This window comes from Homo sapiens, chromosome 7 (genome assembly GCF_000001405.40).
Source record: "Homo sapiens chromosome 7, GRCh38.p14 Primary Assembly".
In the NCBI taxonomy this organism is placed as follows: domain Eukaryota; kingdom Metazoa; phylum Chordata; class Mammalia; order Primates; family Hominidae; genus Homo; species Homo sapiens.
The window spans coordinates 52,267,199-52,280,769 of NC_000007.14; the positions used below are offsets into that span (position 1 = coordinate 52,267,199).

Here is a 13,571-nt window from a genome sequence, read left to right on the forward strand (position 1 = left end):
TCCAGAGTACATCACCATAACAACCCATAGTCTGCAATAAACAGAGACACCATCATCAAGAAAGGCAGCAGACACACCTCTACAATATGAATGTCACCTACGATTCAGGGAGGTTTGTTCTCAGGACTCCTATGTGATTTTCTTGGAAGCTCTCAGTTTTCTGCACTTCTTAATTCCATGGAATCCTCCCTTGAAAATCTGCATTTGGATCAGGGCTCTCCTGAGGTCCTGCTGGCAGAGATATTGCTTAGAGCCATGTGTTTTCTGCCACTTTCATCATCAGTGAGTGAGCAAATACAAAGACAGCACAGATCATAAAAAGTAAATATGAAGATGGAAAAAAATATATATATTTATATAGTTATATATATTTATATATATATTTATATAGTTATATATATTTATATAGTTATATATATTTATATATTTATATAGTTATATATTTATATATATTTATATATTTATATATTTATATATATTTATATATTTATATATATTTATATATTTATATATTTATATATATTTATATATTTATATATATTTATATATTTATATATATTTATATACAAAATATATTTTGTATAATACAAAAAATATTATATACAAAATATATATATACATATATATATTTTGAGATGGAATCTCATTCTGCTGCCCAGACTGGAGTGCAGTGACACGATATTTGCTCACTGCAACCTCCGCCTCTCAAGTTCAAGCTATTCTCCTGCCTCAGCCCCCCTGAGTAGCTGGGATTACAGGCACGTGCCAACACGCCCGGCCAATTTTTGTATTTTTAGTGGAGACAGGGTTTCGCCATGTTGGCCATGCTGGTCTCAAACTCCTGACCTCAAGTCATCCTCCTGCCTTGGCCTCCCAAAGTGCTGGGATTACAGGCGTGAGCAATATAATTCCTTTGCATAGTGCTTTATTCTTTTGAGTCTTCTGAACATTCCTGCAGTGAAGAAACCGGTTTATCTAATTTAGTTTCCAAAACTTACTTGAGCACTGATGAGGGAGCAAATTTTAAAATCTCTGTGCATATCTATGGAGTTATGAGATAAAAGGAAGTATAGCATATCACCAGAAATGTCACATTGAATAAAGGAATATCTCAGAGGACAAAAAGAGAAGGATGTGCTTTTTCCTGCAAGGAGGCACGGAGGTGTCCACCCACCTTATCTCCCTCAGCATTCAGAGGGAGGTCCAGTTTGGCTCACAGCAATTCTTTTGAGTACTTCCTTTATTCAGTTCACTGAAAATCACCCACTGATATCCATTTCTCAGTACTTTATAAAGTACTGACAAACTTAAAGTTTGAGGATTTTTCTGCCAAATGCGAACTCCCCTGAGAAGAGCAGGTAAGTAGGCCCTTGTCAGAGGTTTTCCAAGGTATTGTCATATAGGGAGCTGGGCATGGCTCACAGTGTAGACTAAAGGGAGGACTATCTGGAGTATCACGTACTGCATTGTACAGCCTCTCTGAGAGTCCGTTCTATGTGTCTCTGTGTGTCGGTAGGGTAAGGGCAGGCAGTGCCCTAGGAAGGCAAGCTAGGAGAGCAAAAGCCTCAGCTGGAGAAGCAGGGACACCAGGCACAGAATGCAGCTACTCCTCAATCCTGCCATAGGCAAGCACTGGCCGCAGCTCTCTGCAGCAGAAGGAGGTCGAGCCTTATAGTAGCACTTCTTATTTATTGTGACATTCTGTTACTGTTCGCTGGATAAATATGGGATTTTTGTTGCAAGAACTATTGATCCTTTCAAGCATCATAAATTCTCCCCAAGAAAAGAAACAAATCTGGGCAAATAAGCTAAGTTTTACTTTGTCTTTATAATCTAAATAATAAAAATCTATATACTTTAGAAACAAGACCACACAGAGACCCTTACTAAAAAAGCTTCTGAAAGTTATATTTTCCCATTTTTAAAATCTTAACTGTTGCATCCAAATACTAATTAGATTGTAAGATTCTGAAAGCTTCCTTGTAGCATTTTTTATCATACCTGCAACAAAATTATATATATATAATATATACATATGTATATATATATGATAAATGTTTTTCTCAAGGAATGAGATTGCAGAGCTAAATGTCTTTTCAAAATACAACCATTACTAAAGACATATGATAACTTTTTTTCAACAGTAAGTTACGGTAGTTGGGCTTTTTCTGGTTACAAGATTATTTCTGAGTTGTGAAAATTCTCTGTCCATGTTTTTTCCTGTATTACCATGTTCTTCTCTCATATCCCCCATTCAATCTTGGTTGCCACTGAGACAGACAGAAAGCAGAAGAACACTTTTTTTTCTCACATCTGTAATGGAAACCTTAGCAGCAGACACTAACTGCTCCAGGTCTGCCAAACAGATGGATTTACTCTCCAACTTACTGCATCCTGGTTTTTTTTTTTTTAATGCTACTTATCTTTTGTCACCAAATCCTGTGGTATGAAGAGAATATAATGTGTCTGTGGATATCATAAGCTTATAGTAAGCAAGGGGTCTACTGTGTGTTTCCCTTCTAGGCCCAGCAAAATATGAACACAGAAGATGCACAAATATTTGCTAAATAAATAAATTAATGAGAAAGTTTTTTTCCCAATCAAAATATTACTTTCACAGCAGCTTGCTTTATATATTTTCTAGAAGACATCAGATCACTCAGTATGACCTATTACTCCTTTAGCTTCCTGTAATGTGTCATTATTTATTCAGTCTTTAGAGGAATTTTGAATCACCACAAATATCTGGACATTGGGGGATAAATTACAAGACTGCTAGTTTTCTCTTTATTTACTATTCTAGTAAAATACAACGTTAACAGATGTATCTTATGGTGGAACGTGCATACACTCCTCTGACTGAAGAGTAAGTGACTGAGGTAACCTTTCTAAAACCATAATTGGCCAATTATTACTTAATGAAATACATATCTACAGTGTTTCCTAGTTTAGGCTCAAAATAACCAGACTTTTCTTTGGTCAAAATGAGAACAATTTTAACCTGCAAAAGTTATTTCTTAAATAATCTTTTTGTATGTTTAAAAGAGAAAATCTCACAAGATATATTGAATTATAGATATTAAAACAAATATATTTTCAAAGCCCTTCACAGGAAATGGTAACCTTTTCTAAGCTAGGACTAGAGCTATTTATTTTGCTTCACAGGAAACAGTACAGATTAGCCAAAATCATGATGCTAACATATGCTATGAGTAACTCGGATATGAGTCTAGTTTAAGAGCGTATGGTCTTTCTTTTTTCCTATCTACAAGGTGCAGGGTTACTTATCCAAAAGAAGTGCTCACCATGGAAAGTAAGTGACCAACTGGTGGGCAGGATTGTGGCATCCACCCGAGTTTCCATTAGGCAATCAATCTTGCTTTTCCTTTTCCTCACAAAGCCCATGCCACAGGCCCAAAGTTACTGGCAAGTTGCCCTGCTTGTCCCAAATAATAGGAGGAGGATAGACTTTTAATACAGAGATAACATAACTCTGAAATTGTCGCAGTGTTGTGTCAGCTGGGAAAGCTTCAATTGGTGTCATTATGCCCTTGCTTCCCCACCTGTGGTGAGGTGCATGCACGACCTCTCTCCCGGAACATTAGGGGAAGGAGCGTCCGCAGAGCCCAGAGCCCTGTGCTCCTCCGATGGAGCTGCTGCAATTAGTATTCCAGAGGTCTCCTGACATGCTGTAGACAGCTCTGCAGCCTCAGCCTTCAATCTGGATCAGGGATGAGGCAGTTTACATTTAGTTTGGGAAATTGATTTTAGTAGAGAAGAAGGTGTGATGGAAATGGAGGGATACATAATGAAAAATACCGTTTAATGTTATGGTTGTGAACATGGGCATTTAGATGATAATTTTGATGTTCCTGATGGTATTTCAACAGGAACAGAGCTACCAGACCAGTGCGCTCAAACACATCCTCAACACAAGGCATTTACCGCTCCCGTGTCATATCCTAAGAAGAGCCTGCCTCATGCTTTATTCTCAGAAAGTCTGGTAAAACAAAAGGCATGTGTAATTTAGAACTGTAAGATTATATAACACCATTATTTATATATTTTATGTCAAAATTTAAGTCCTGGTAATGTCTAAGGAGTTATTTCCTTATATGATGTGTGATTTCATTCAGTAAAGAAAGTACGTAACACTTTGGATTATATATTCATTAATTCATCTATAAATGTATATTTTACACTTACATTGTGCTAATCTTCATGTAATATATATGCTGGGGACACAGCAACACAATACTCCTCTATGATCCCTGCTTTCATGGTATTCCAAAACGTGTGACAAAGGCCAGTGATGACCAGTGGGATGAGTTACAAAAGGGCAAGGGCATAGTGATGAAACTGACAATAACCCCAAGTTCTTAGAGGCTGGCAGGTTTTATCAGTCAGAATAGTAAAGATACAGTAAAGATAAACAAACAACTCCCACATTTCGGCTGATTAATATAACAGAAAGTTACTGTACAATCCTTATACAGGTTCATCCTAGGTCAGCAGGAGTCTCTGCCCCTAATCACTTAGGGACATAGGCTAGGCAGTGGGACCAGAATTATGCAAAGTCTCAGAGCAGCAATTACATGCTTTAGCTTGGTGAAAATATGTTCCTCTGTGTTCACAATCCTCTGACCAGAACTGGTCACACCGCCCTACCCAGCCACAAGAGCAGGTGTTCAGTATTCAGTGCGCTGGGTGGAAACAAGAGGTAGACAGCGGGAATCCCAGTAATGACTAGATGGAGACCCTGCTTCAGAGTCACAGATGAATTTCCCCTTAACTCACAAGGCTTTATTTCTCCAGCTCATACATTATTCAACATCTCCTACAAATGGAAGAACTGTTTCCTGAGCCAACATGGCACTTATTTTTTAATCCCTTAAGCTATTTTATTTAAAAATATATTTCTTTTTGCCATCACCATATCCCAGTTCTTGGCTTTCAGTAAATATTTACTAAGTGAATTAATGTTTGGCTACACTTTGTGCCTGATGACAATGGCACTCAGCTGTGTGTGTTCTATGGAAATTCCTCAATACTGTTAACAAAGTGTTTACCAGATAAGTTTGAACCAACTTGCAATGTGTATCTCCCCTTAGACATCTACAATAAACATAAACATATCACAAAATTTAATTACACAATAAGAGCTGTGCTATATAATGTCAGTTTAAGGGTTAGGTTCAGCAGTCCAGTAGTTTTTTGTTTGCTTGTTTGTTTTTAATCCTAGTTCCTTTATTAATTTGGCAAAAATCTTAGTTTTTCTGGGCCTTAAATTTCTATAACTGTGTAATGGTGACACTAATATATACCTTACTGTGTTATTGCTTTAGTTAAATTACATGTTACATAATGTTCATAGCCCAATATTAATAAATAAATGAAACAGGCCAGGTGCGGTGGCTCACGCCTGTAATTCCAGCGCTTTGGGAGGCTGAGGAAGGCAGATTACTTGAGATCAGGAGTTCGAGACCAGCCTGGCCAACATGGCAAAACCTTGTCTCTACTAATACTACAAAAATTAACCGGGCGTGGTGGCGGGTGCCTGTAATCCCAGCCACTCTGGAGGCTGAGGCAGGAGAGTCGCTTGAACCTGGGAGTCAGAGGTTGCAGTAATCCGAGATAGTGTTGCAGTGTGGTAGGCCAGGTCTCACTGACACAGGCCTCCATAACAACTGTTTCAGTACTGACTGAGTGGTTAAGTTAAATATTAAAAGCCAGTCCCCTTATACAAAGTCTTGGGATATAACAAAAGCCCACCAAGTGTTTTGCCTAGGCCTTTTCTGGGCCTTAAACCATGACAAAATAACGAAGGAATTCATAACAGGACCCATTTAGGATTAAATGAGGTGTATTGTGGGTCTGAAGAAATTCCCCAGGCCTCCATAGACAAGTTTATTGGGGGTCTGGGGTCTGAAGAAACTCCCCAAACCTCCCTGATTTAGTAGGAGACAAGGGTAATCACCCCAGCACCTGGATCCATATAGATTAAGTAAATTTACTGAGGCTCCAGGGGAAGGTCCTCAGGACTCAGACCTTAATTATAGATCAGCAGAAGTTAATCACTTATGTCTTCAGATGAATGCACACTTACAGATAGACATATAGCTTAGAAGGTATATAAGCTCTGGAAAATTTTGTGATTTTGAGTTGGTCTGGCGATAATTTCCAGGCCTTCTCCCTGTAACCAGTTGCAGAAATAAAAACTCTCTTCCCAGCTCATCTGCTTCTCCTTATTGGGCCGCGAGAAACAGCAGCCCAACCCTCAGTTTGGTCTGGGAACAACTGTACTCCAGCCTGGGTGACGGAATGAGGCTGTGTCTCAAAAATAAACAAACAAAATAATAAATTAAAACTAATTTTATTAATTTTTATTGTTACTATTTTATAGTGTCATAAATCACAGTTAACCACAAATTATTCTTGTTAGAAAATACACTTTTTTATGAAATTTGGCAGGAAAGTTTTTGTTTACATGGAGTTCCATAAAGAGCCCTTGATGTAGTAAGAACTCATAAGGCAAGCAGGCAGCTGAGGCCTCCTGAGACAGGAATGCACATAGCGCTTGGGCCCTGCAGGCGGAGCGGGCTCGGGGACCTGGCGCAGCGCTCTGTCACTCTGGGAAGGAGGCGCTAGCCCGCCAGGCCGCGGCTGATGCTGGGGTCCTGCACTAGCGCGAAGGTCAGCTCCATGCCGGCGAGGCCAGGACGGACTCCAGAGCCTCAGTGTGCTGAGCGCAGGCGCCCAGTACTCGGCGGAGCTGGCGCCCCGCTAGACGCAAGGACTCCACAAGGACCCCAGAGCCAGATCCCTGCGAGGCCCCGGCATTCCCTGACCTGGCGGGGAATCCTGGCCCCCGATGGTCTACGGCAGCCCCCAGCCGGCTCCTGGGATGGCTTGCAGCGCCCGCAGGCTTCTCCAGCCTCCAGAACTGCAGGAGCTGCGGTCCAAGCCAGCTCCTGGGCTCCGGGAGAAACTGAGGTACGTGGCGCCCGAGCTGCCAGCAGGCGTGCAGAGGCGGGGTGGGACACAGCAGGTCTGGGATGCGGCTGCTTCATCCCTGCCTTCTCCTTCACACACAACCCTGGCCCTGCCCCACCCCAGCCAAGGCCCCCTCCGCATCCCTGTGCTGGAGTGTCCCCAGTGGTTAGGTGCGAAGTTCGCGGAGGTGGACTGAGGAGTGTTGACAGCCACCGCTTTGAAACCCCTACTTAGGCCGCGGCCCCACAGCACGCTCCCGTGGGGCGCGTTCGTGCTTAGCTGCAGCGCCTCCTCTGGCACCACAGGGCTGCATGCGGACGGCGGGTCTTGCGGGCCACGGGAAGGAAGGACGGGGAGGAGTGCGCAGCCCCACTTTGCGCCAGGGGAAAACCATGTTCGTCTGACAGGTTAGGACACCAAGATTATAGTCAACAAAAACACAAAGGCCCAAGTCCATGGGCGGCCCTTGGCAAGGGCTAAACCGGGAAGTGAAAACAATCTGGTCTACAATTTTTTTTTTTTTTTTTGTGACGCAGTCTAACTCTGTCACCCAGGCTGGAGTGCAGTGGCACGATCTCGGCTCACTGCAGCCTCCGCCTACCAGGTTCAAGTGATTCTCCTGTCTCAGCCTCCTGAGTAGCTGGGACTTCTACAGGAATGTGCCACCACGCCCGGGTAATTTTTGTATTTTTAGTAGAGAGGGGTTACCCCATGTTTCCCAGGCCAGTTTCCAACTCTTGACCTCAAGTGATCCTCCCACCTCAGCCTCCCAAGGTGTGAGCCACCGCACTCGGCCCTAGCGTAGATTTTTAAGGGAACTCTAGGCTAGACCTTCCAGGTTCTTATCTCACCAGGATAGGCCGAGCCCCTCTTCATTTGTTGAAGGACCACTTGTGTTTCCTGTTCTGGGAACTTGCTTCATTTTTCTCCTGGGATGTTAATCTTTACAGCAATCTCTATGTTTGGGGGAATTGGTACTTTGTTTGTAATATGAGATATAAATATTTTTTCCCAGTTTATCTTTTAACTTTGCTTATGGTTTTTTTTTTTTTTGACTTGTTACTGTAAAATGAAACACATTACATAAAAAATCAATAAAACATTTATCTTTCCAAATATATTAATAAAACTTCAAGCCCTAATTAGAAGAATAAAGGTTGATAAATTTGACTAAGCCTAATTTATAGATGTATACACAGATTCAAAAGATAAATGCAAAAATGAAAAAATTATCAGCAGTTCATAACACAGCCAAAAGTTTAAATCTTTTAATATACTAAGAAGTCTTATAAATTAATTGTAAAAGTCACTATCACTCAGTACCAAAAATATATACAAATGATATGACCAAACATTTCACAGACACAGAAATACAAATATGGAGTGCAAATGTAAAATACTCAGCCTCATTCATAAAGAGCTACACATTGAAACGACAGTGAGGTATCATTTCTTCCATATCCTATTAGTTTAAACCTTCACATAAATTTAATTAGCCAATATTTCAAAATGTAACATCTGTTGCTGGAAAAGTTTTGAAACAATTGACCACATTTGTCATGCCAGGGTTAGAATACTTAATTGGGAAAGATTATATCACATTAGATAAGTTAATGACTTCCATCTTGGAATTTCCATGAAGAATTCATTCCTCAGAGGCAAACACTATAGAAAGAGAAGTTTTAAAAGCACATTTTTGGAAGAGTGAGGAATAAGAAATGATTTAATATCTTATACCTGTTACCTGATGTAAGTTTGGAAATCATGGACAGTTGTCAATATGTAATTTATTGCAAGGCTAGTTGAAAAAAAAGTACTAACGACCTTTATCATATAATGTGACTACAGGTCTGTAAATTGCATATTAGTGGTGAATTGATATTAACAGGAAAAGAAAGAAACTGTGTATAAAGGTGGAGAACTTAGAGAAAATTTTGTAAATATTCTTGTTATTATATTTTCTTCCCATAATAAATATAAAATTATGATCCATAATTTACGGTCAAATGACAATTTCCTTCAATATAAAGCCTTAGGTTATTATCATACATTTTTTAAAGTTATACTTCAGAATAAGTGTTGCTGTGGATTTTTTTTTCCTTTTTTCTTTCTTTTTCTTTTTTTTTTTTTTGAGATGGATTCTCACCCTGTCACCAGGCTGGGGAGCAGTGGCATGATCTTGGCTCACAGCAACCTCCGCCTCTGGGGTTCAAGTGATTCTCCTATCTCAGCCTCCCAAGTAGCTGGGATTACAGGCACATGCCACCACGCCCAGCTAATTTTTGTATTTTTAGTAGAGACAGGCTTTCACCATGTTGGCCAGGATGGTCTCGATTTCTTGACCTCGTGATCCGCCCACCTCGGCCTCCCAAAGTGCTGGGATTACAGGCGTGAGCCACCGTGCTGTGCCTGCTGTGGATTTTTAAAAGCATCTATTCCTCAGAAAATAAATGAATAACATTTAGTAATCATAATACAAATAATTGAAGCCTTTTCTTCTAGACTCTTATAAGAACTATTCTCCAACTCAACACCATGAGAATGCCTGAACATTACCCAAGAAACGTTGCATCTCCAGACCTGTGGAAACTGTAAATTTTCCTTTCCTTGAGATATTCATTCTATTAGATCTTCCCTGCTTTCAGAGAGTCAGGGAGCGTCGCCACTCATGAGGGTGGTCAGGGCGTCAGGGGCCAGATTCCCCGGAACAATCCTGCCTTTCTTACTTCTGGTCTCCACTCTGCTCAGTCCTAACATCTCTGCCATCAGTGAGCGCTTTTTTTGCAGCCACAAAGCTGTGAAGCATTTTTATCTCATGACTCCTTCCACAGAAGGAAATCTTTCAGCCCCGCTGGAGCTAACTTTGTTGCTGTTGTTTTGAAAACTGCTCTTCAAATCTGGTTTTTCGCAGAAGTTTGAATGCACAGCACTGGGCACAGCCCTGTGTCTTGCACACTGCTCTAGAAGCAGGCCCTTGTTACATGGAAGGGAATTTAATGTGATCCCTCACCCTTACTGGCTCAATCAGGATCCACTTTCCCCCAGGGCTTAATTTAGGTTAACATCATCCTGGTGTCATGACCTCAGTCTGCTGATAACTTACTTCAAAACCCTCTTTCCAACTCTTGATATTAGGTTTCAGGATGGCTGCCACTGCAAATATCAGAAACCCCTATTAACATTGACTTGAATAATGAAGTGGTTATTCTTTCATAGAGCAAGGAGATACAGACAAAACAGTTTTAGATCCAGCTAGCTCAGCAAACTCGAAGCTGGAGGAAGAGGATCTGTGGATGAAGATTTCCTAGAAAAGGACAGAAAGCAAGGACAAGGAAAATAAAAAGCCAAAGATCAAGTATCTAAGAGAAATGTAGAAACATAGACACAGGGTGGCCTGACTACAGAACCAAGTCCTGGAAGAGATGGGGCATCAGCCAGACTCTACCCAGTGGACGCCAGCTAGGTGGAGTCTTCATCCTGGAAGTGACCCTGTCCATTTGCCCCCTGGAAGCCAGGATGGGTCCTCAGGAGGGACAAGTCCAAGAAACTGGAGAGGTTAGAAACATGGACCCATCGGGACATTGCCGAGTTGATCCATGAGTGGCTGACAGGTTGTAAATTTCACAGGGTGTGAGGTTGTGACTCCAGCTAATGCCTGTGTTGACTCTTCCAGCGTGGCTGCCATGCTTTTTCTATGGTTGGCCAGTCTTGGTAGGGGGTGGGCCAGGTAATGCGTGGCATTGAGGCACTCTTACTCAGTACCACAAGCCCGTGCTGCTCACTGGCAGGACTTTTCCAGAAGGATTCTTAGTTCACCTGACAAAATCAACAACCACATGCCTATATTGATCCAGCATTGCCACAGGTATATTTGCTGTGCTAAATGAGAGCATATGTACAAGGATGCTCCCTGCATTGCTGTCTGTAATGACAAAATTATGTAAACTATACAAATGTCTTTCAGTAAAGGACTAGTCGCAGGGCACAGTGGGTCACTCCTGTAATCCCAGCCCTTTGGGAGGCCAAGGCAGGTGGATCATGAGGTCAAGACCATCCTGACCAACATGGTGAAACTCTACTAAAAATACAAAAATTGCTGGGTGTGGTGGCCGGTGCCTGTATTCCCAGCTACTCAGAAGGCTGAGGCAGGAGAATCGCTTGAACCTGGGAGGCGGAGGTTGCAGTGAGCTGAGATCGCGCCACTGCACTCCAGCCTGGAGACAGGGTGAGACTCTGTCTCAAAAACAACAACAGCAACAACAAAAAAGAACTAGTAAAATAAATGGTGTCAGCCATTCTGTGTAATGCTATGTGTCCAATTAAAAAAAAATTAAATAGACCTAACTATCCTGAGGTGGAGTAACTCCAAAAGTTGAATATGAAGTGAACAAAGCAAGATGTATTACAATGTTCATATCAGCAACTGAAAAGGAAGATGTGTTTATATAGCCACCCAGAATACTCCTGGAAAGAAATCAAGAAACAGGAAGCAGTTATTGCCCTTGGAAGGGAAAATCTAGGTGCCTTTTTGTAGCATGTGAATAATTCAGTAAATCTCTACAGCACACACAGTAACATACATACACACATTCACACCAAATTATCCATTTTTTTGCTTTGTCATCCTCAGATTTTTGGCTGTGCTTTTCGGTTTTTCTTTCATTTTTTGCATAATGATTATAGCAGCTCCAAGCATCTGATCGGATTTGTATCTACTCCAATTGTATCTAAAGTACTTGCATGCTTTTTAAAATGTACATGATTTCAAAATCCATGCTATTGACATGATTTTTTTTTACAGTGAAAAGCAATGGAAAACTGAATAGTTTAAAGTAGGTGATATGTCTGATTTGGGCTTTAAAATGTTACTCTGTTACCAGGGTAGATAACAAATTGAAAAAGTCAATATGGCCATTGCAAGTAACCAGGTGAGATCATCTTGGCGTGAATATCAGTTTCATCAGTGGTGATGGAGAGCAGACAATCTCTAGCAGTAGTTAGGAGGTATAAGCAACTGGCCTTGGGGAGTGATCGAAGGTGTGGGGGTCAGTCACAGGAGTTACCAAGGGTGACTGCCAGGTTCCTGCTTGCCATGAGGGGTGGAGGATGTTACCTGTCACTTACAATGGAAATGTGTATGATGGAAAGCCATGATTCTAATTTTAGACAACAGAGTATTCCACACTTACAAAATACCCAGTAGATGATAATCTGAAGTAGAGAGAATTTTTATTTTTTTCAACATAATCAATCTTCATTATTATCAGATTTCACATTTTTCAATTTACCTATTTGCTAAAATTTGCTTGTAACCCCTCAAGTCAATACCCGTGGTGCTTTTGTGGTCGTTCATGGACATGCCCAGAGCAGCAAAAGCTCTTGTGTCTCCTGGTACAGATATTACCTGCTGAGGGCAACCAAGCCATGCTCTGCCTTCTTGTCTAAGCTCTCATAATGGTAGCAAGGGGCCTTGTCACAGTCTATTTAGTGGCATATTTTTGCATTTTCTGCTTTTGTTGGTGATTTTGCTATTTAGAATACCTGCAGAGTATGACTGTGATATGCCTTATGAAGAAAATACAAGTGTTAGAGAAACTTAGTGAAGGCATGAGTTACAGTGCTGTTGGCTGCAGGTTCCATGCTAATTAATCAACAGCATATAATAAATACGTTGTCCATAAACAGATACGTAAAACAAGGTTTTGTATTGATTGGTTGATGGAAATGCTATGATCAGAGGCTCACAAGTACTTAACCCCATGTTTCCCTTCAAAGCCACGCATCACTAATTCAGTGCATTCACTAATTCAGTGTTTACAGCAAGTCTGTAGAACATAGCTACTGCAAAAAAGAAAAGAGAGAGAGAGAATCAACCATGTATGTATATATGCCAGAGAATCCATGTGTACAGGTAAGTTTGCATTGGAGGAGATTATACATTGATCAAAGAAGAGAGACGAAGATCGATCCTTAAGAATTTCCAAATTTAATGATTTAGTAGAGATCAACAGGCATGGTGATGATGCACCTATGTGGAGATACAGCACTTCCTCAACACCTAACTTACTAATTTGTACATAACATTTCAAAATAAATGTTTATTAAATCTTTAATTAGTTAAGTTTTCAAAAGTGTTATAAAATCCACTTTTAGTCAAACTCTAGGTAAATGGACAAATCTTTACTGTCATTATAAAATTTTCCCATTCTTTCAGAGAACAGAATAGAAATAACATTTCTCAAATTCCAGTAAAAAATTTGCTTCATTTTTTTAGTAATCTTACTCAAAGGAATTTATCTCAAGATATTTATTCAACAGATTAAAAATAAAGAGACAAAATTACAATATCATAGACACAGCTGCATAAATTTAGAGTCATCTTTTTGATGTTTATTTTTAATTTAAAAAAATCTCATTTAGCTTTTATTTTAGGTTCACAGGTACATGTGCAAGTTTGTTATGTAGGTAAAGTGTGTGTCACAGGGTTTTGGTGTATAGATTATGTCATCATCTGGGTAATAAGCCAATACCCAATAGGAAGATTTTTTATCTTCTCCCTCCTCCCACCCTCAACCCTC

General features: G+C 40.5%; 1 long non-coding RNA gene and 1 other non-coding gene across 3 annotated transcripts in view; one reads left to right on the forward strand and one right to left on the reverse strand.

The window, feature by feature from the left end:
- Positions 1 to 2,238: 2,238 nt before the first annotated feature.
- LOC124900240 (small nucleolar RNA SNORA31) lies at positions 2,239 to 2,371 on the reverse strand. Its single transcript, XR_007060655.1, has one exon. It is a non-coding gene; the product is annotated as a small nucleolar RNA SNORA31 (small nucleolar RNA).
- A 4,254-nt stretch (positions 2,372 to 6,625) lies between these two features.
- The window catches only part of LOC124901810 (uncharacterized), a 152,886-nt gene continuing 145,940 nt past the window's right edge, over positions 6,626 to 13,571 (forward strand). For both annotated transcript variants that reach the window (XR_007060637.1, XR_007060636.1), the window contains exon 1: positions 6,626 to 6,993. This is a non-coding gene — a long non-coding RNA (uncharacterized LOC124901810). The remainder of the gene's footprint in view (positions 6,994 to 13,571) is intronic.